We start from the raw sequence: 20,316 nt of genomic DNA, 5'->3' as shown, positions 1-20,316 counted from the left end.
GTTCACATCATATCACAAGTGAGTTCGTGCCAAAGTCAACACTAGGGCACATCTCTGACTCCCAGTCCAATGTTCTTCTAGGTATCTCCTCCTGTCAGATTGCCTGCTTGGACAGATGAAAACAATCATTAAACTGCCTTTCAGTTTTCCTTACTTCGGAGTAGCTAATTCAAATCACATTGATAATCTGTATTACCCAATATGGTGTGACTTTTCAGATATTCAAGTATTGAAGAAGTAAATTGTCTAAGAAAAACCTAGCAAGGAGGGTTGAAAAGAGCGGAAGTGACTTGTGCCAAGCCTCTCAACTGGAACTGGTCCTGTCCTTGGGACTCTAGAGAGTGAGCCTGGCCTTGGCTGTCTGAGGTTCCCAGAAGAAGACCGGACCTTGAGATCTGAGGATTGGTGCTGAGCAGTGCACTTTGTCAGCACCTGTAATTCCTTCATCACCCAGCTCAGTGCCCAATAATATTTGTTGATTTAAATCTGTATCAAATACAAAACAGAGTTGGAAAAAACTCTATCTGGTGTGTTAGAGCAGGGGTCCCCAGCCTCGGAGCTGCGGACCGTCCCGTTAGGAAGTAGACCGCACAGCAGGAGGTGAGCGGCAGGTAAGTGAGCTTTACCACCTGAGCTCCGCCTCCTGTCAGATCTGCAGCGGCATTGGATTCTCACAGGAGCGCGAACCCTATTGTGAACTGCGCATGCGAGGGATCTAGGTTGTGCGCTCCTGTGAGAATCTAACTAATAATGCCTGATGATCTGAGGTGAAACAGTTTCATCCCAAACCATCTCCCCCATCCATGGAAGAATTGTTTTCCATGAAACCAATCCCTGGTGCCAAAAAGGTTGGGGACCACTGTGTTAAAGGGCAAGACATTAGATGAGTTATCATTCTTCTTTTATTAATTCTCCCCTGTTGTCCTTTTAAATTAATGTAGTTGTTAAAAAAATAAGTAGTATCTACTGCATAAGCAATTAACACAAGGCAGACCCATAGAGTTCAGTAAATGTGTGTGACGATGATGACATATACATGCCTTCTTTCTGCCGCAGACAAGGTGCCTGGGCTCAAGCATATATTTCAATATTATAAAGGGGTAGCAGAAGGTATCTTTGTGGCGATGAACCAATTTTTTACCTTGTTTGTAGTGGTGGTTCATGCATCTACACGTGATAAATTGCATAGAACTATGCACACATACAAATGCATACAAGTAAACGGGTGAAATCTACATAAATTCCACAAATTGTACCAATGTCAATTTCCTGGTTTTGACGTTGTATCACAGTTATGTAAGATGTTACCATTGTGGGAAACTGGGTGAAGGGTACACAGGGCTTTTCTGTACTATTTTGTAATTTCTTGTGACTCTATAATTATTTAAAAATTAAAAGAAGATTCAAGGTTTTTCTTTTTTAACCACTAAAAGATTTCATTAAAAATATAAATGTTTTTGCTTCCTCACTTACCGAAAAAAAAATTCTTAAAATAAAAATTTTCACCTGTTTCTGGAGACTACATCACTAAAGTGGAAACCATTTTTTGCCAGTAAATGTGGTTCCAAGAATTTGAGACGGATTATGCAAATGACTGATTTGTACTATCATACATTTTTAAATACTTTAAACATAACAATTATAGGTGTTGAAACTTAAAACATTGATGAACAGCTGTTAACTTTTAAAATTATAATAAAATTAAAGTGGCCATCATTAAAGAAAGGAAAACCAAGCACTCGTCTATAGAAACTATTTTTTAAGATACAAAGCTCCAATATGTTCTTAAGAAAAAAAATGCACTTGCCTCTTCTCCCAAGTAATATATTTTAGCTTCTCATTATGAATAATCCATCTTTCTCTATGTTCATGGAAGGAGTAAAGCTCAGTCTTTATTTGCTTCTACAGGAAATTTTATTTTCTGTAGAAAGCTAGTCAATTCAGAATAAAGGGACTAATTTATATTTGACCACTAGGTGTCACTGTTGATGGTGGCGTGGGCGATAAGGAGGGGGAGGGGAATTGAAAGCAAGCTCAGGGGATTTGGGGGGTTGAGTTTGTTGTTGCTGTTGTTTTTAAACATAAAATGCTCACATCATTGCCATTCTCCCTCTCTAGGTACGGCAGGGTGGTAGGAAGGAAAGAGAGAAGTATGAAGACACAGCTTTGGCAGTGTTTCCGTAATGACTGGCCCTCAGACCACCCTAGCAGATTGCTGACTGCCGAGCCACAATCCCAACAGAAATTGACTCTTCAAGTCCATTTTAATCATTCCCTAACCACCTCGCGGGAAAACAGAAAAACGTCAATGACTCCACGTTGGGAAAGCGAGGCTCTCCTCGGCCATGCCTGCCTAGTGCTGAAGAAATCAGATGAATAATTTATATCACAAAGCAGTGTGCAGGGTCAGCTCGTGTGTGAAGGGGCTCTGAGTGAGGAGCTCTGGGCGCACGTCAGAAACATCATCTATGAGGCCAATAAACAAATCCAGGCGGAAGAGCCTCAGGAAGTGGAATGGGAATTTTTTGTCAGCAAAGATCAGTGAAGTCCAATTTAATTCTGGACTTGGCTGTATGAAATGGGAACGTTTTCAAAGCCCGTGGAAAATCAAACAATGAAAAAGAGATTTTCCTGATGTACTTGGCACAGACTCCAAGGATAGCAAGACGGGCAGTGCTGCCTGGACCCCGGAGGGAGATCGTCCTTATCTTCAGAACAGCCAGGGCCCGATGCCGAGCCTCACGGTCAGGGGTCGGTTCCCGTACCCAGTAGCATACCCAGGATCTGCAGGCGGGGCGGGGCTCGCTGGCAAAGCCCTGCAGAGGAGGCTGCCGTGTGCCCGTGCTATTTCAATCAAGCGTCTCTAGCTGGAGCTCTTATTCTTTCACTTTCCTAAGGGGGAGAAAGTTAAAGAAAACTAGGGAGTTGGAGTGGAAGGGAGTTTTGAGGAGAGAGCCTAAACAAGGGGTACTAACCCCCTTGTAAGCATCTAGAGGAGAATTTTAAAAAATGGAGGAAGGAGTTGAAATACATGGCCCAAAAGTTTTCATATTTGAAAATAGTTCCTTGCTCACTTATGTTATAAACTATTGCATCAAATGACCATTTCTAACCATTGTCTCATCAAATGAGACATTTCTCAGGGCAGGATTAGTAGTTTATACTTAACCACAATCATTGGAGGCAAGTTAGTGGGATAATCATGTAATAAATTAAAAAAATAAAAAACAGAAAAAGAGGTAAGCAACGAACATCGAGTGCCAACTACACGTCAGGTATTATCCTCAGTGTTTTCTGTGCATCAACTCATTTAATCTTCAAACAACGCTACAAAGCAGGCACTCATATTATTCCTATTAGAGATGAGAAAATGGAGAGAGAGAGAGGAGGTCAAATGGCTTGCCCACGGTCGCAGAGCCTGTAAGCGGCAGACTACCTCCAAGTCACTCAGCAGCAAACATAGGTCTAGAACTCAGAGCTCTGACCCTTACCACCCAGGCTCTCCTTATGGATCTTTTACCATCTTGTGCCCTGTGAAATGTCTACCAAGTTCAGATCCTAACCACTGAGAGCCATAAAATGTATGCACAACAGAATTTCTCTACTTGCTACATTCTGACAAAGTACTACACCAAAAGATGGAATGCAAACTAGGCTGTGAGGCCAGCCCTTGACAGGCATGCCTTTTGTGGCTCACAGCTTCAACTACTACCTCAGGCAAGCCCTTGAGACATCTCTCTGGACCAACTTCTCTTCATATAGCCACTTAGTCTCTGGTCAGAGTCAACTAGCTATATGAGACTATAGATCAAACATTCATTGTGATTTACACGAAATTAATTTCCAGAAAGTGTAAGTAATGGTACTTTGTATGAAAACACATATTTTCCAGGAATTTTTTATTGCCCATGACACACACACTAAGATTTTGCCAAAATAAGTTCAAGCCAGTTGTGTAACTGTACTCAAAATAGCTGAGGCTACATAAAATGTCTTTTGGGCACTGACTCAGGGGGAAAAAAAACAAATGTGCTCCTTAATAACCCTGGTAGCTGTACTGACTCTAACAGATAATTTTCTAGTCCAGCAACAGTATTGCAGTTTGTCATTAATAGATGTGAGGAATTTCTTTAGTTGGAATGAAGCCACAATTAGTAGATGTCCTTTACCCCTACACCTGCACCGCCCCTCCCCCTCCCCCCAAAAAGAAGCAGCCTCTGGAAATAAACCCAGAGGAAGTATTCACTCTGGAAAATAAATGCGAGTATCAAAGTACAGTCAAAGTTTTTGTGGAGGTTCTTATTGTATTTCTTTTAGGATAGACACTAAGCATGAACAATGGGATGATCTGTCAGACTTATCATTCCTGTTGCACTTCCAATGAGCCAGGATTATTTCCCTACCAATGATTTGCCTAGTGCATTAGGTAGGGCTTTCTAGAGAAACAAAACCAGTAGGATATATGTATAGTGTGTGTATATATATATATATGATGGGAATTGGCTCATGAAATTATGCAGACCCAGAAGACCCGTGATATGCCATCTGCAAGCTGGAAAACAAGGAAAGCCAGTGCTGTAATTAATTCTGAGTCCTAAGATGTCACTGAGGGATGGGGAATGGGAGGCACTTGTGTGAGTTTGAAGGCCCCATAACCAGGAGTTTGATGTCCAAGGGCAGGAGAAGATGGATGTTTCAGCTCAAAGAGAGAGAGGGAATTCATCCTTCCTCCATCTTTTTCTTCTATCTGGGCCCTCAAGAGATGGGACAATGCCAGCGCATATTGGTAAGGGTGAATCTTCTTTGCTCAGTCTACTGATTCAAATGCTAATCTCTTCTGGAAACACTCTCACAGACATACCCAGAAATAATGTTTTACCAGCTACCCAGGCACCCCTTAACCCAGTCAAGTTGACACATAAAATTAGCCATCACAACGAGGAAGTAAGGTTCACAACCAGAATTAAAAGGACTTTAGAATTAAACTGTCTTCAAGTGGCCAAAGAAACTTAACTTTCAAACTTCCCCTAAATTCTGATAAACTTTTGAAAAACGTTTTCTCTTTTATTTTGCCACATACATATCCAGATGCCAACACCACACTATTACCTGGGAAATGATGACAGAAAAGGAAAAATTAAAAATAAACACAAAATGTTTATTAAGATAATTATGATTGAATACAAAGTTTCAATAAATTAATTCTTCCGTATTCATGAAACCCAACTACAATAGACAACTGTCAATGTAAGGCAAGTCATTTTTCATTAGTGATTGTGCTTTATATTCATATTTTTAAGAAATATTATTGGACTCTGCTATGGACTGAAATGTGTCCCCCATCCCCAGTTCATAGGTTGAAGCCTTAACCCCCAATGTGACTGTATTTGGAGATAGGGCTTTTAAGAGGTAATTAAGGTTATATGAAGTCATAATGGGCCCCTAATATGATAGAAGTGGTGTCCTAAAGAAGAGGGAGAGATCTTTCTCTCTTTTTCCACACACATGTACCAAGGAAAGGCCATATGAGAATATAGCAAGAAGGTGGCTGTTTGAAAGCTAGGAAGAGAGCCCTCTAGAAACTGACCCTGCTGGATTTTAATATGGAATTTCCAGCCTCTAGAATTGTGAGAAAAATTCCTGTTGTTTAAGCTGCCCGGTCTATGGTAATTTGTTACGGCAGCCTGAGCTCCTCCTCCATCAAAGACATTACCAAGTGCCAGTCCACACTTGTGTTGGTTCAGATGCAGTCCCTGTCCTCTTGGAACTCATACTTTGGTTGAGATGACAGATATTAAACAATTGTAAAAATGACTATATATTTATCAGGTAAAACAAGTGAAGCTGACAAATCAACGGGTAAATTTGTAAGAGCATGACAGGATTCAGTTTAGTTTGAGGGGCCAAGGAAATAACACTTAACCGGAGCCTTAGAAGTGAGTGAACAATTAGCCAGATGATGAAAAGGACAGAAAGTTCTAGAGAGAGGAAACAGTATTTGCAAAGGTCCCATGGCAGGAAAGAGGATGATCATGTGGAAAGAACTGAAATAAGTGAGTGGAGTGAGAGCAAAGGGGGAAGGACACACTATAACCCATGTCTTTAAAGACACTAGGTCTTCTGTGTAGACAATACATGGAGGTGATGAAGAGTTCATGCAAAATACCAGCTAGGTGTTTATTGCTGTAGGCAGGTCACAGAAGGATGATGGCTTTGACTAGGGTGGTGCTTGTGAAATTTGGGAGAAGCATAAGACCCTAGGAGTATTTGGTAGATGGAAACAAAAGGACTTGATGGTTTCATGAATATGGGTAGAAGTGGTTACAGAGAAGATGGTGTTAGGATGATTCCTTGGTTTCTGGCATGAACGACTAGGGTCCGTTTGTGACATGCACAGAAATGGAAAGACTAACAAAAAAGCAGAATTGGGAGGTGAGTACCACTGTTTGGAATTGTTACTGCAATTGTTTCTGTTTATGAGGCTGATCTTGCAACTGTCTGAGACTATTTTCTAAGATGAGACTTAGGATATATTATCATAAACAACAAATTCAGTAGGTAATGAGGATAAAGAACAAAACCACCCAGAACTGATCAATTCCAGTCAGACTCCTTTGAAGTAGGTTAATGCAGGCTTGAGTTGGGATCCTCCTACAAATCTGCTTCCAGGGGCAATGTCCATTGCTAAGCGCGTGTCAGGGGAGTGTCAGGACAGGAGAGCTTCTAACCTTGTCCCACATAAGGGCTAGATCATACAGGAACTAAGGAAATCCTCTAATCTGAGCCAATACAGGACTCAGGAAACCAGGGAGAGGAAGCAAGTATATCCAGTTTTCCTTGCATCCCTGGACTTAAGGGGCTTTTAGAGTGACTTAGGCCCCACTGTTCCTCTCCCCACAGACATGGCACCGTCATCACAGTGATCAGTTAGACATAGGTCTTAGGAACTCCTTTGCTAAAAGCATTGAGAAAATGAGACCCTTCCTTGGTCTCATAAATGGTCTAGTATCAAACAAAAATAAGCAAATTTGAGAAACATAATATTTTATTGATTATTATACTTATCCTAACAGTTATAAACCTACAGGTATTGTAACAGAGACTTTGTTTTCTTCCAATTTCCACTCTTTCCTCCTTCCACAGTGAGGGGACTACAATTTTTGGTGAGTTGTGATAGAAGCTTGGACTAGGTTTATGGTGGTAGAGATGAAGAGATGTGGTGGGCAAGAGAGCTGCCTAAGAAGTAAAACCAGCAGAAGCTGGTGGGAGGTGGATATCAGCAATGAAGGAGACGGAAGGATTCCAGATGACCCCTATGTGTCTGACTTGCAAAAGAGAACAAATAGGGATGCTGTTTCTAGAGAGAGAAAAGACCAGGTTTGGAAGGGGAGGTCATGAGTTCCATTTTGGATCTGTTGACCCCCATGAAGAGATAGGAAGGAGATGGCTGGGTATACAAGTCTGGAGTTGGAAAGTCTCGACCTGGGCAGGAAATATAAATTTGTCAGTCATCTGACTATAGAAAGATCACCTAGGGAAAGATCACTGAGGGAAAAGGCAAGAAGGTCTTATGGAATGCTAGTTTATCTTGATTAGGTACTGAAGGATGACTTGCTGAGGAGAATGAATAGAAGAGGTAAAAGATGAAGGAGATAACTAAGTTTCCACATGATTATAGAAATCACAGGAAGAAAGTATTTCACGTAGGAGGGGCTGGCTGTGGCATAAGATACTTCTGAGAGTTTAAGTAAAATGGACTGAAAAATAGCCCTTAAATCCAGTCATTGCAGGCCACTGGTGACTCTGGGAGAACTGTTTGCACTGATGAGGGAAGACAAATTAAGCTGAATTGTAGTGACTGGTGTGTGAGAAATAGAGCCAGCAAGTATAAGCAGCTCCCCGTTTACCTTGCCAAAGACTCCTCTTGTCAGTCACTATTATTTATTAGTCAAGATCAGATATTCCTCATAGAACAGTCCTTTATATAAAGATCACTGTTACCATCAAGAGTAACACTGTCTGGGGCACAGTTTTCAGTTCTTTATTGTTTTAAGATGATGTTCATGTTTGATGAAACGAGTTTAAGTTGCTTTTATGGCAACAAAGATAGAGGTGAACACTAATTTGTTCACTGCCTTTTACTCAGTCCCTTTTGTAAGAAGGTTGAACATAAATAGGTTAGGACTGCAGCCTGTGGCCATGGTAGTGACTGAAGCCTCCGTTGGGTTTTTCTGTCTAGTGTGCTTGGTTCTCCTCCCATTAGCATGCATACAATCCATGGAAGTCCCTGGTTGTGGGTAGCGAGTTAATAAGGAATCTAATAACAGGATCCCTGCTCTGTGGGCTGATATAAAAAAAGAAAAAAAGCAAATGCACACATTAAGGGCAAATCAAGAAACCATTCTTTTATTCAAGGCCAACCACATAAACCTATGCAGAATATTCAAGATCAGAGTTGGTGGGGAAAGGAATAAAAGATAGAGGTGGTGAATTGGATAAATGGAATGTATCTACCAAAAAAAGGGTCCTCAAGAAAAGGCTTTAAAATGAGAATTCTATAGTTTGGCACAGACAAGAAAGGCTATCTATAGCGGAGGAGAATGGAATACTTGGAAATGGCTTGTACATCAGCGGGACAAAAACAAACAAGGTCTGAGGAGTCAATTCTAGCTCCAGGGTTTCTATGGGTCCACAACCCCAATCAGCAATCCCCAAATTGAAAAGTCTCTGAAAACTGAATATTTTTCCCAAACTCATTTGGCCATTGATACTGACTTGATTGGAATATATTTGGTGACAAAACCTGACCTGAAAAGATGTGAAGATATTTACCATTATCCCACTTTATGGTAAGCAATCATATATTTTACTGAAGAAATATTAATGTGTTTGATTATGGAGTGCTGCCCAGAGTCCACTGGGGGTATTAGGTACCATAAATACAGACAGCTCTGAATGATCTTTCTAAAACATGGAAAATTCTGAACTCTGAAACATATCTGGCCCCAAGGATCTAGATAAATCATTTAGACCTGAAATGGGAGGGCCAAGAGGACTACATGCCTGGGAGTGTCAGAACCATGAATATAGAGCCTACAGAGAGACCACAGCCAGGGCAAGAGGTCCACCTTCGTGGAGCACAGATGGGGCCTGTGCTCACATAATACTGTGAGTCCTCAAATAGTCATCAGAATCAACCTGGGGCTGGCCCTAGCCCCCTGTTCTGGTGAGAGGAAAGTCTAATGGCTCCTGATGGTCTCTAGTCAGGAGATCCATGTTTTCTGAGGGCCTGCTGCATGCCAGGCACAACTCATTAACTCATTTTCTTCCTCATACGCGCCCTCTGAGAAGGGGAAATAAGGATCAGCAAATAAAGTCACAGAGTAAATGGCACAGTTGGGGATCAAACCAGGTCTGTTTGATGATGCCAAAGGCCATTCATGGCCCATTACACCATGCAGATCTCTTGTTGAATATAAGTCAATTGGCAGCAGGCTAAAGAGAGCAATTCTAGCAAATGCTTATGGAATATATTCTATATGCAGGCTTGTTTCATTTGCAAAGAATCAAGCTGGGTTGGTGTACTATGACCACCATTTTCCAGGAGGAGAAATTGAGGCTTAGGAGAGGAGAAGTAATGTGTTTGATGTCTTCCGATAAGTGGTGGAGCTGGATTTGAAACCAACATCTCTCTCTCTCCAGACCTAGCCTTGCTACCCTGCATGTTATGCCTCCTCCTGAGCACAGACTGCTGATGCCAGTGGATGGAAATTTAAACACACACAAACATACAACCTCTTTCCTTAAGAGCCATGTGATTAACCAGAGTGAAGTGTCAGTGGCCTTCTGGGATCTCTCTGATGGGTGAATGGATAAAGGTCATAGCGACGACCACAGAAACCTGTTTAGTATCAGCGGATAACATTGCCTGTCACTTTAAATGAGCCAGAGACCTCCAGACACTCCAGCAAGTCTCCCATTGCACAGGAGAGCAGCTTCAACATCAAAAGAGAAAGAGATATAGGCAAAGGAGGGGGAGGCGTGCTTTTCTTCAGCTGTTGATGGCTGGTCAGGTGAATCTAATGGCTTATTAATAAGAAGCAATTAATTGTGTAGCCAGCCCAGTAGTTCTAAGAAATGAAATCCCAAATCTGATACGTGAAGGGCATCAGGGATTGAATAACTGTTAAAAAGCAGTTTCTGGCACTGCTTTGCATCAATAAAGATGTAAAGAACAAAGGAATAATGTGCAACTACTGCACGATCAATAGACGTTTGAAATACAAAAGCTGAGAAAGTGAAGAAGCATGGAACCTCGTCAAATGTTAATGTCTGCTTTCCAGAAGGGAAATCAGAATGTGGGGACAGAGTTGGAAAGGAGCTCAAAAGGTCATCCTGTTCCACAGCTTACGTTCTCTCCAGCAGTGGACAGCTAGCCTCTTATTTTAAAAGTCCAGAGAATTATGACAGACTGTATTCCAGAGAAATGGGAGAATGTGCATTTACTTATTGCAGGTACTGGACAGTTGGCCCATCAGGAGAAGTAAATCAGATCCCCAAACAATGAAATACAAATAATTTCTGGACTCATTAGACCTCCTCTCATGAACAAGACTGACAGCTGCCTACATTCCACAAGAAATCACAGGAAATCAAAATTTCAGCCAAAAACAGTCTGGACCTCGTAATAGAAATTCTTATTCTAAGGCCAGAACTCATAAATTTCAGCTACTTAAATGAAGGCATCCAGAGGCCACTTGGGGAATCCCCTGGTCAGTGTGGTAGTTGTGACAGCCTGTGCTACTTGGCAGGAAATAATATCCACATGGAATGGATGATGGTAGTTTATGGCCATAAACTAAGAGAATTCTAATGCCAGACTGAAATTAAAACACACACACACACACGCACACACACACATACACATTTAGAGAGTCCAGGGATGTGAGAGACATTGGACAATAGCATTTGCATCACAAATCAATTTGTTGGCTAAGCCTAAAATGTGTAAGATTTCCATTTTCACATAATTTGCACCAGCAATGTCTCTGCTTCTATTATGTCCTCAGTTCCTATTAATAAGGCAAAAGGAAGATTCTTTATAAAATGTTTGGAATGTTGTGAGGTTTCGGAACCCCTTGGGAACACAAGGCATACTAATGGAACAGATGTAATGATCTCTGTATCACACAATGCTGGTTGCTTAGAAACATCCCCCAAAGATTAGTGGATGCTGTTTTTGTCCATACTCCTAATTTCTGAGCCTTTTACACTTGTCCATTTAATTAAAGAAAGGATATGTGAAATTTACATCTGTTCAGACATTGCTTCTTTTCTGGGTGCTTTTCAGGGAAGTGCCAAAGAATTCAGAGAACCTAGGGCATTGTTTCATTGGTTGTCAGAGCATTCCTGAGAGGTTGAATACATTTGGTAGTGAGTACTGCCCGTATCAGTGTTGTAGCTGAGGAAATCAAATCAAAGAATTGGGGTAGAGACCAACATTTGGAACAGTGACCCCTTTGTTTCAGCCTAGGAGACTATCTTGGTAAAAACAATCCTCTTTATGAGACATAAAGCTGCCAAGAAAGGCTATTTGTAATGAGTCTTTTTCCTTAGTTACAAGATTGAATTCTAAATTAGTTGAATCTCATGGGCCTTAAATATAAAACTGGCTGACACAACCTAATTTTAATATGGCAATGCACCGTAGGATGTTTGAAATGTATGAAAGCGATTAGGTTTTAGCTCTGTTTTGCAAAGGGGTTTGATACCTATTTGCACTTAGGCAGCCTAACCTCTGAAAGACTGGTCACTCTGTAAGTTGGAGCTATATCCAGCTGGAAAAGAGGAACTGCTGGTATCTCTGGGATGGCATGAAGCAACAAGACATGCATGGCTGCTACCATGGTGCCGTCTGAGATCCAAACTATCTTTTCATCCTAGAACACAAAAGGACGGGCTCAGTGTCTTGGGGACATCCAACTAGTTGGAGTGACTAATTAGAATGCTCTATACCCTGCCTGTATGGTGAGAAATACTTTACATTTTTCTTTAAATACATACACATTCTCCATTTTCTTCTCCACTGGGTCATGGGAAGGAAGAGGGTGGCATTAAAACATGCTCATGCTTTATCGTGTCTGTGGGTCTGTAAAGGATCCCTCATTAAAAAGAAGAAAAATCTGGTTTAAGTTCAACTTCTGGAACTAGAAAGTTAATATTTGATTAGAAAAATAAAAAAATCAGAGTAACAGAAAGTATTCCTAGAATCTCATCACGTTATAAGGTCTTATGAACACATTATATCTCTTGAGAGGAAAGGAAGAAATGCCAGACCTACTCACTTCCATTTGGCTTTTTGAGAAGGATCCAGAAAAGTACAATGACTGTAAAGATACAGGTATATACATATATATATATTTTTTTTTCTCTCTCTCCCAGTTACTCTTTTTGTTTGGTGTTTATGTGAAATTGCAGGAAGAGTCACTATTAGTGAACATACATTGAGCGTCAAAGACGTGCCAAGGGAATTCTGAAGTACAGAAAGAAACATAATATTGTGAGCCAACAGATTCATGCACGCACATATTTTATTGTATGTATGCTATGATGTTTTTATGCATTGAGCCCATGTTATAAATCAAGTAAATAAACAAATATACTTGGCAATAGCTCATGTGCATCTGTGGACTGTTTAGACAATTGCAAATGAAAACGATTGCTTTTTCTTTTTGTGTTTACCAAACTTGTTAGTTTTAAGATGCGGACTGCCTGCTTTTTTTTCCCAGGGTTTAAATGTTAAAACTCTTGTGATGAAAACAGAATAAATGAATTGATAAACTAGAAAACAGTTTATGAAATTGAACTGCAAAATATGCTCTTTGCCTCATATACAATGTTATATTGTGTTTATAACTGTAAACACCCTGCAGTCATCGCCATGTGCGTGCTGGATTGGAGAAACAGTTGAAACTTGTACAATGGTGATTTTTTTCTATTGATTTACAGATTGAAATAACAGAAGCCATCTCTGATTTTTGAAAGTACAAGCTGAAGAACTGAAAAGATGAGAACTCCTTCATTGCCTGGGAGTTAGAATCAGAGATAATGACACAACTGGAAAACCAAGAGGAAAACATATGAGACTGATATTCTCAAAGTATAATCTTGAAAAAGAAATGAGTCAAGCACATGCATGGTCAGGCAATGTACTCATGCAGTGGACCTCTGGTGTTCTGGCTGGCCAGAGTCACCTTTTCCTTGTTCTGGTAGCCATAGCTTTGGTTTCCTGGGAGGAATCACCTCCCTTAACCTCAGTGTACACTGAGATTGGGCACACTCCAGCACCTGAAGGAGACGTGTAACCCAAGCTTTTGCCATGAACATATTTCCTCTCTTTGGCCACAGTGATTGTCTCAGGAGAAGGCACAAAACTCCACTCTGGTCAGTAATAATCAGACTGAGCTGCACATGAACCCAGGAGGGTGTAAGACTGAAGGTGCTGGGGGCCATCCTAAGAAGAGGATCCCTCCAAGAGTTAAGCCAACAAAAGGGAGAGTGAGTAAGAGACTGAGTCCACATAAATTTGAACTCCAGAGTCTAGCCATGCCTAAAGCCAGAATTTCTCCTAGTTTTTAGAATTATTATATAATGTCTTAAATCTTTTTTTTTTTAAACCTAATGTTACCTTAAAGGTGACTTTTTTGTCCTTTGTAACCAAGACAGTCCTGTTGGGTATACTCCAAAATAATGAACATGAACCAGAGTGAGATAGTGAGTATAAAGTCTGAATCTATTGTCTGGCAGGTGACACAAAAGAACTCCCATCTGTGCTCTGGATGAACCAAGACCCTTTCCTTGCTGGGTCCATGTGCTAAACATAGAGTGAGTTAGAGGAAGAAGGATATGATGAAAGATTACAAGGTCATGTTGGGAAAAATCATCTCCAGGCTGAGAGGGGTTGGCACAAACTGAAGTTTGAAATGACACAATCTCTGGTTTATCCACTGCCAACAGCAAATAAATAAAGGAGAAGACATAAAATGGAGACCAGCTGGTGGACGTGTTTTAGATTTGCAGAGCATCAGAGCTGTCTGGGATGAGAAAATAGAATGGACTGTACAGGTTCTGCACCAGCAGACCAAGCACAGACTTCCAGGAAGCTCTTGGTAGGCAGACTTCCTTGGGCTGCCTCTACCATTCCATCAAATTTCCTCTGACCCTGGTTTGATATGATTGACAAGTATTCAACATTTCAAAGAGAAATAGAGGGAGAGAGAGGGAACTGCTTTCCTTTGATCAATCAGATATAGTTTTATAACAACATATTAAGAAAACTATCAAATAAAGCATAAGAAGAATTTTAGTGTAGTAAATACATATGTGTATGCAAATGAACAAAGGTCTATATAGGAAGAACTGGATGTCAGGATAAGTGCATCAATGGGTGGCCTTTGTAGAGAACCTAAAACACAACTCTCTCTCTCTCTTTCTTTTCTTTTTTTTTTTTTTTTTTTTTCCTGTCACCCAGGCTGGAGTACAGTGGTGTGATCATGGCTCACTGCAGCCTCAAACTCCTGGGCTCAAGCAATCCTCCCATCTCAGCCTACAAAGTAGCTGGGACTATAGGCGCCCACCACCATGCCCAGCTAATTTATTTTCATTTTATTTTTTGTAGAGATGAGGTCTCTCAGTGTTGCCCAGGCTGGTCTCAAACTTTTGGAGTTAAAGAATCTTCCTATCTTGGCCTCCTAAAATGCTAGGATTACAGGCATGAGCCATCATGCCCAGGTTAAATTCTTAAATGTTGACAATTTGCAGGGGAGAAAAAAAAAAAAAAAAAAAAACTAGAAGGAGAACAAGAGACAAGTGAAACATAAAAAGGAGTTTTTGTTTGTTTGTTTGTTTGTTTGTTTGTTTTGAGATGGAGTCTCGCTCTGTCGCCCAGGCTGGAGTACAGTAGTAACCAATCTTGGCTCACTGCAACCTCTGCCACCCGGATTCAAGCAGTTCTACTGCCTCAGCCTCCTCAGTGGCTGGGACTACAGGCGCGTGCCACCACGCCCGGCTAATTTTTTGTATTTTTAGTAGAGACGGGATTTCACCGTGTTAGCCAGGATGGTCTCGATCTCCTGACCTCGTGATCCGCCTGCCTCTGCCTCCCAAAGTACTGGGATTACAGACATGAGTCACCGTACCTTGCCAAAGAAGGAGTTTTAATACAAGTGATAGGTAATTCAAATCTCAAGAACATTATCCAGGGTAATAATTTAAAAAAAAAAAAAAAAAAAAGAAAGAATGGAGGCTTGGAAATCCTGACAGATTCAGGGGATGTCCCCGGATTCTCCATTTCCCAGTGTGATTTTGGAAACCAGATCTTACCCAGAAAACCAGGTACCCCTTAATTTTCATCACCCCATCCAGAAAAAGCAGGAACTTCAAGCCAGATTGGGACAGGAAATCCTTCCTTCCTTCCTTCCTTCCTTCCTTTCTCCCTCCCTCCCTCCCCTCCTCCCCTCCTCCTCCCCTCCCTCCCCTCCTCCCCCCCTCCCCTCCTCCCCTCCTCCTCCTCCTTCTTCTTCCTTTAAAATTCTCAGTACCTTCCATAGTGGCTGTCACATATTGTTGAACTGATCGATTAATTCCAGCCGGAAGAGACAGTGGCATTCTGAACTAACCCCTAATTTAACTGATGAAAACTAAGGGTCAGAAAGGTGATGAGTTTAGTTCAAAGTCACATAGCTAGTTAAAGGATCATCAGAGACAAGAATTCAATATTCCTGAACTGAGGAGGAAAAAAAATGTTCTTATGCCTGAAAAAGTAGATTGGCTGTTAGTGATTCTCCTAATTAATTAGAAGACTGTTATCATACAGAAGAGGGTGATATTCTAACAATTGCCGGAAATAGAACATTTCTTCCTATCATGCTTTGCCTAGAGACGGTTCAAGCAAGAATAGCCAGTGAATTGAAGAAGTAGGGAATGGAGAGGATAGAAAGAAACCTTCACAAATATATTGTCAAAAAGTTTAGTTTAACTCAGTGTTTGGCAGAAGCACCTAGAGATGTCAGCCTCCCAGTGCATCAGTGGTATTTGTTAGTGCCTTTATCCTGTGGGCCTTAGGTTATGGCCAGGGGAGGAAACCAGAGAGAGAGAACACAGTGCTGAAGAGAGTGAACACCCACTTACATTAACAGGTTTAGTTCCACACAGCTCCTTCGACTGGAAATTGTTAGACCTGGGGCTTAGCCTGCCTTCATCACTATCTAACTGTGCAGACCTCTTTAGACCTTAGTTTCCTCATCAGGACTGAATGAGCAATGAACACTACTGACATTACCACATTCTGAGTGCCATGAGGATGTGGCATAAAGGCATAATTAAATTCAGTTGAGGTTAATCTAGAATTGTCCATCCTGCCCTCCTCTTCTGCCTTTTACTGACAAATGGATGTAAACCTGAAATTCATTTTGTTTCTAGAATGCCTGGGATGTTGAAATTATTCACATTTTAATCGGCTTTTAACAAGAATAGGTAAGAAAAAAAATTAGGACAATTAAGAAATAATGAAGCCATTATAAAAACAGTAATGATTTAAAAGCAGGTAAGGGAATACTCGTATCGGAAATGTTGAATACCTGCAAATGAACAGTCATATGACAAGCACACCATGGGATTAGGGATTTCACTAATGCACAAATGGAACCATTTATAATAATTTCTTCCCAAAACTGAGGATAATGCAAATGTCCTGATTATTCCTGGAAATATATATCCTCTTGAAAATTGACCATGCTGCACAATGTTGGATATTAGGTCTGAAGATGTTATCAGTGCTTTGCACAAATTTATTCTTTTTTCAAAGATAGCAGCATCCTAGTTTCTTTCTTATAAGTCAAAAGACTTTACTGAAAACTACCACAACCAAACTTGTTTTCTTCAAAAAAAAAAAAAAAATCACAGATATGCAGTTCTGGTGTGACACTAACAGTTGTCATAACCCTAAATCTCTGGCGCTGCTCACTGAGAGACCAGTGTGAATGTCTCTGGCCAGGCAGCTCACTTGGGAGCACCTCTTCCTAGCAGTGAGACACGGATTTGGGCCCTCCATCCTGAGGATACTCTGTCTTCTAGGGTCTCAGAATATCCTACTTCCAGCCCAAGGACAGTGAGAAGCAAAGCTTGGAAGATTGCACAGAAGGTTTAATGGCCTGGTAGTGGCCAGCATAGCTTCTACCCACATTCTGTTGGCCAAAACTCGGTCTCATGGTCCCACTTTGATACCCTAGGCACAGGAAGAACAGTTCAGCTGTGTGTTCAGGAAGAAGGAAGGCAAAAGGAATTCTCTTCAAGGATTTTCATGTGGGAAATCATCTCTACTCATCTTGGCTGAATGAAACCAGAACCTTTGACAGGAAGAGGGAGTGACAGCTTATACAGAAACAAAGAGAATGTTTCCTCAAGTGCCACTAAGTCTAGAAGGGGCTGTTCGAAAGATAGGTAGGGAAATCGTGCTTCCCTGTGTGAGATATCCTCTATGCCACACATTTCAGGACCTCTGATTCTGAAGGAGGGTGGGAAGGTAGACAGAGAAAGGATAGAAAACCCAGGAACGGTCTCAAAGGAAGCCACACTATCCCTCGGCTGAGTGCTGAGGAATGGCTGACTAGGCCTCATAGGCTGCTTGGTAGATAAAGAATAGGGGTAGGGGTGTGATCAGGGTAAGGGAAGGAATCCCCAGCACACCACTACCCAGTCTCTCTTTTCCAACTTCTTCTCTTTTTCTTTTCTTTTCCTTTCTTTTTCTTTTCTTTTTTCTTTTTTTTTTTTTAGACAAGAGTCTCAGTCTGTCACCCAGGCTGGAGTACAGTGCTGCAATCTCCACTCACTGCACCCTCCACCTCCCAGGTTCAAGTGATTCTCCTGCCTCAGCCTCCCGAGTAGCTGGGACTACAAGTGTGCACCACCACACCCAGCTAATTTTTTGTATTTTTAGTAGAGACGAGGTTTCACCATGTTAGCCAGGATGGTCTCGATTTCCTGACCTCATGATCCGCCTGCCTCTGCCTCCCAAAGTGCTGGGATTACAAGCATGAGCCACTGCGCCCAGCCCCACCTTCTTTTAATTTTCTACCAATCTCTTTCCTCCTCACTGTCAATCTCTCTGTTAGTCTCTCTCTCTAACTCTCTGTATCCTTAAACCACACACACACACACACACACACACACACACACACACACACACACAGAGAGAGAGAGAGAGAGAGAGAGAGAGAGAGAGAGAGAGAGAGAGAGACAGGCACTATCAGAACCCAGAAACATACAGACATGAAACAAATGGAACTGAAAGAAATCCAACACCACAAACCCCTGGTAATGATAATAATGAAGAAACGCTGCTGCCAGATGCATCTTGTGATGATGCCAATGATCTAATTCTCTTATTATCAAAAGATGCAGGTAAAGGCAGCCTTGACAGAAGGCGTTAAAAAATCAGAAGAGCACAGCATCACTGAAACTGCGTTGTCTGATTTATACCTTTCCAAAGACCAGGCTTCTGTAATAGGCTGATAATAGCCTCTAGCCATCAAAACATTATTTTATCTGGTATCTTGATTTTTAAAAATTGTGGAAACTAGCAAATGGAACTGGGTTATTTATGTAGTGTTTGAAACTATGTTAGTCCACTAGGAGAAAATGACTACAAGCACACAACAAAAGTCAAAACCCAGACTGGATAATAATATAATGAAAAGCAGCAGCCTCAGTGTGGTACCATGGCCAACAATGTAAAATGTAATTTCCAAATTAGAATGGACATTTGTCTTTCATAATTAATAAAACTTTGAAAGAGGGATAGGTTAGCATGTGGTTGCCCACCAGACGAGACCACTACCCACTAGTACTTGGGCACAGCCAGAATTCAAAGCCATCACTGCCAGCAGATGAAGACTCCTGCTAAAGAAGGATCCACATCAGAAAATAGCCCCATCTTTTTTTTTCTTTCTAAACAAGGTCTCGCTCTGTTCTCCAGGCTGGAGTGCAGTGGTACAACCATGGCTCACTGCAGCCTGAACCTCCTAGGCTCAAGTGATCCTCCCACCTTAGACTCCAATTAGCTGGGACTACAGGCATGCACCACCACACCTGGCTGATTTTTTTTTTTTTTTTTTTTTTTTTTTTTTTGTAGAGATGAGGTCTCACTATGTTGCCAGGTCTGGTCTCAAACTCCTGGACTTGAGTAATCCTACTGCTTCAGCCTCCCAAAGTCCTGGGATTACAGGCAAGAGCCACCATGCCTGGCCTGCCCCATCTATTGAGTTATGCAGGGGATGTGAGGGTCTCCTTGACGCACACAACACAAAACTTAAAAAAAAAAAGTTTTAAAAAGTTTAAGTAATTGAACATAAAAACTCCCCAGAAGCATGACCTAATCGTTTCATATTTCATGCAATTTAAAGCAGACATCATTTTCCTTAAATGACTAGACATTAATCAAATGGACCTCCACACTTGAGAAGATAAATGCCAACCAAAGAAAAGGAAGCCTTCGGTATATTTACCTTTCCTTTTAAAGCACAGATATGAGAAATGAATGAGATTTTTGACCATTTATCATGCACAGAGACCAACTGTCTCTCAGAAATTTTTATGTCAAACCACACCTGGCCATACATGTTTGTCTCGATTCACAAGCTCTAAATATCATATTGCAACATTGTGGGAGAGAAGCCAAAAGTACTGTGCTTAAAACTCCTTTGTCTTAAATAAGCTGTGATACTTAAAAAAGCTGCCTTGATGTTCCAAAACTATGGATAATGTGTTATTTATTTAGTGTTTTAAACATATTATTTAGTGAGATTATGGCAGTACATTGACCTTCCTAATGAGGTTTGACTAAAGCCAATATTAAAATCAATGTGCCCTCCCTTGCTCCCAGTGACAGAGTATAAAAGGAGCTGGCTTAGAAGGATCTTGTGGGCTGTGAGAAATCAGAATGGCATTTAAAAATTGGCCATAGACAATCCATATGCAGATGATCAATATGACTTCATCACTGTTAGGATTCCAGGAACCATCTTTTCAGAACAGGCTCAGTGCTCAATGACCAGAATCTATTGGTAGGAAATATTGATTACAGTGGTTATAGTTTATGCAAACGCAAGGAGAGTGTGTAAAAGATCCTGAAAGTGGTTTTAAGTGGAAAGACCCATGCCACATGCATCAGAACTACATAGTCATTGGAAACCACTGCAGCATAGTAATAATGCTTAGAACTGACAGTCCTGCAGCGTTTCTACATTCTCCTCTAGAGCC

General features: G+C 41.1%; 2 annotated features.

The window, feature by feature from the left end:
* Positions 471–765: a silencer, noted in NCBI's record as "tiled region #9735; HepG2 Repressive non-DNase unmatched - State 22:ReprW, and K562 Repressive non-DNase unmatched - State 21:Repr". NCBI's record gives its function as "represses a minimal TATA promoter and a strong SV40 promoter by Sharpr-MPRA in HepG2 and K562 cells {active_cell/tissue: HepG2 | K562}" and the evidence as "EXISTENCE:reporter gene assay evidence [ECO:0000049][PMID:27701403]".
* Positions 1,851–2,145: an enhancer, noted in NCBI's record as "tiled region #4096; HepG2 Activating DNase unmatched - State 4:PromP". NCBI's record gives its function as "activates a minimal TATA promoter and a strong SV40 promoter by Sharpr-MPRA in HepG2 cells {active_cell/tissue: HepG2}" and the evidence as "EXISTENCE:reporter gene assay evidence [ECO:0000049][PMID:27701403]".

This window comes from Homo sapiens, chromosome 2, assembly GCF_000001405.40.
Source record: "Homo sapiens chromosome 2, GRCh38.p14 Primary Assembly".
NCBI classification, from domain to species: domain Eukaryota; kingdom Metazoa; phylum Chordata; class Mammalia; order Primates; family Hominidae; genus Homo; species Homo sapiens.
This window is presented reverse-complemented; position numbering and strand designations above follow the sequence as displayed.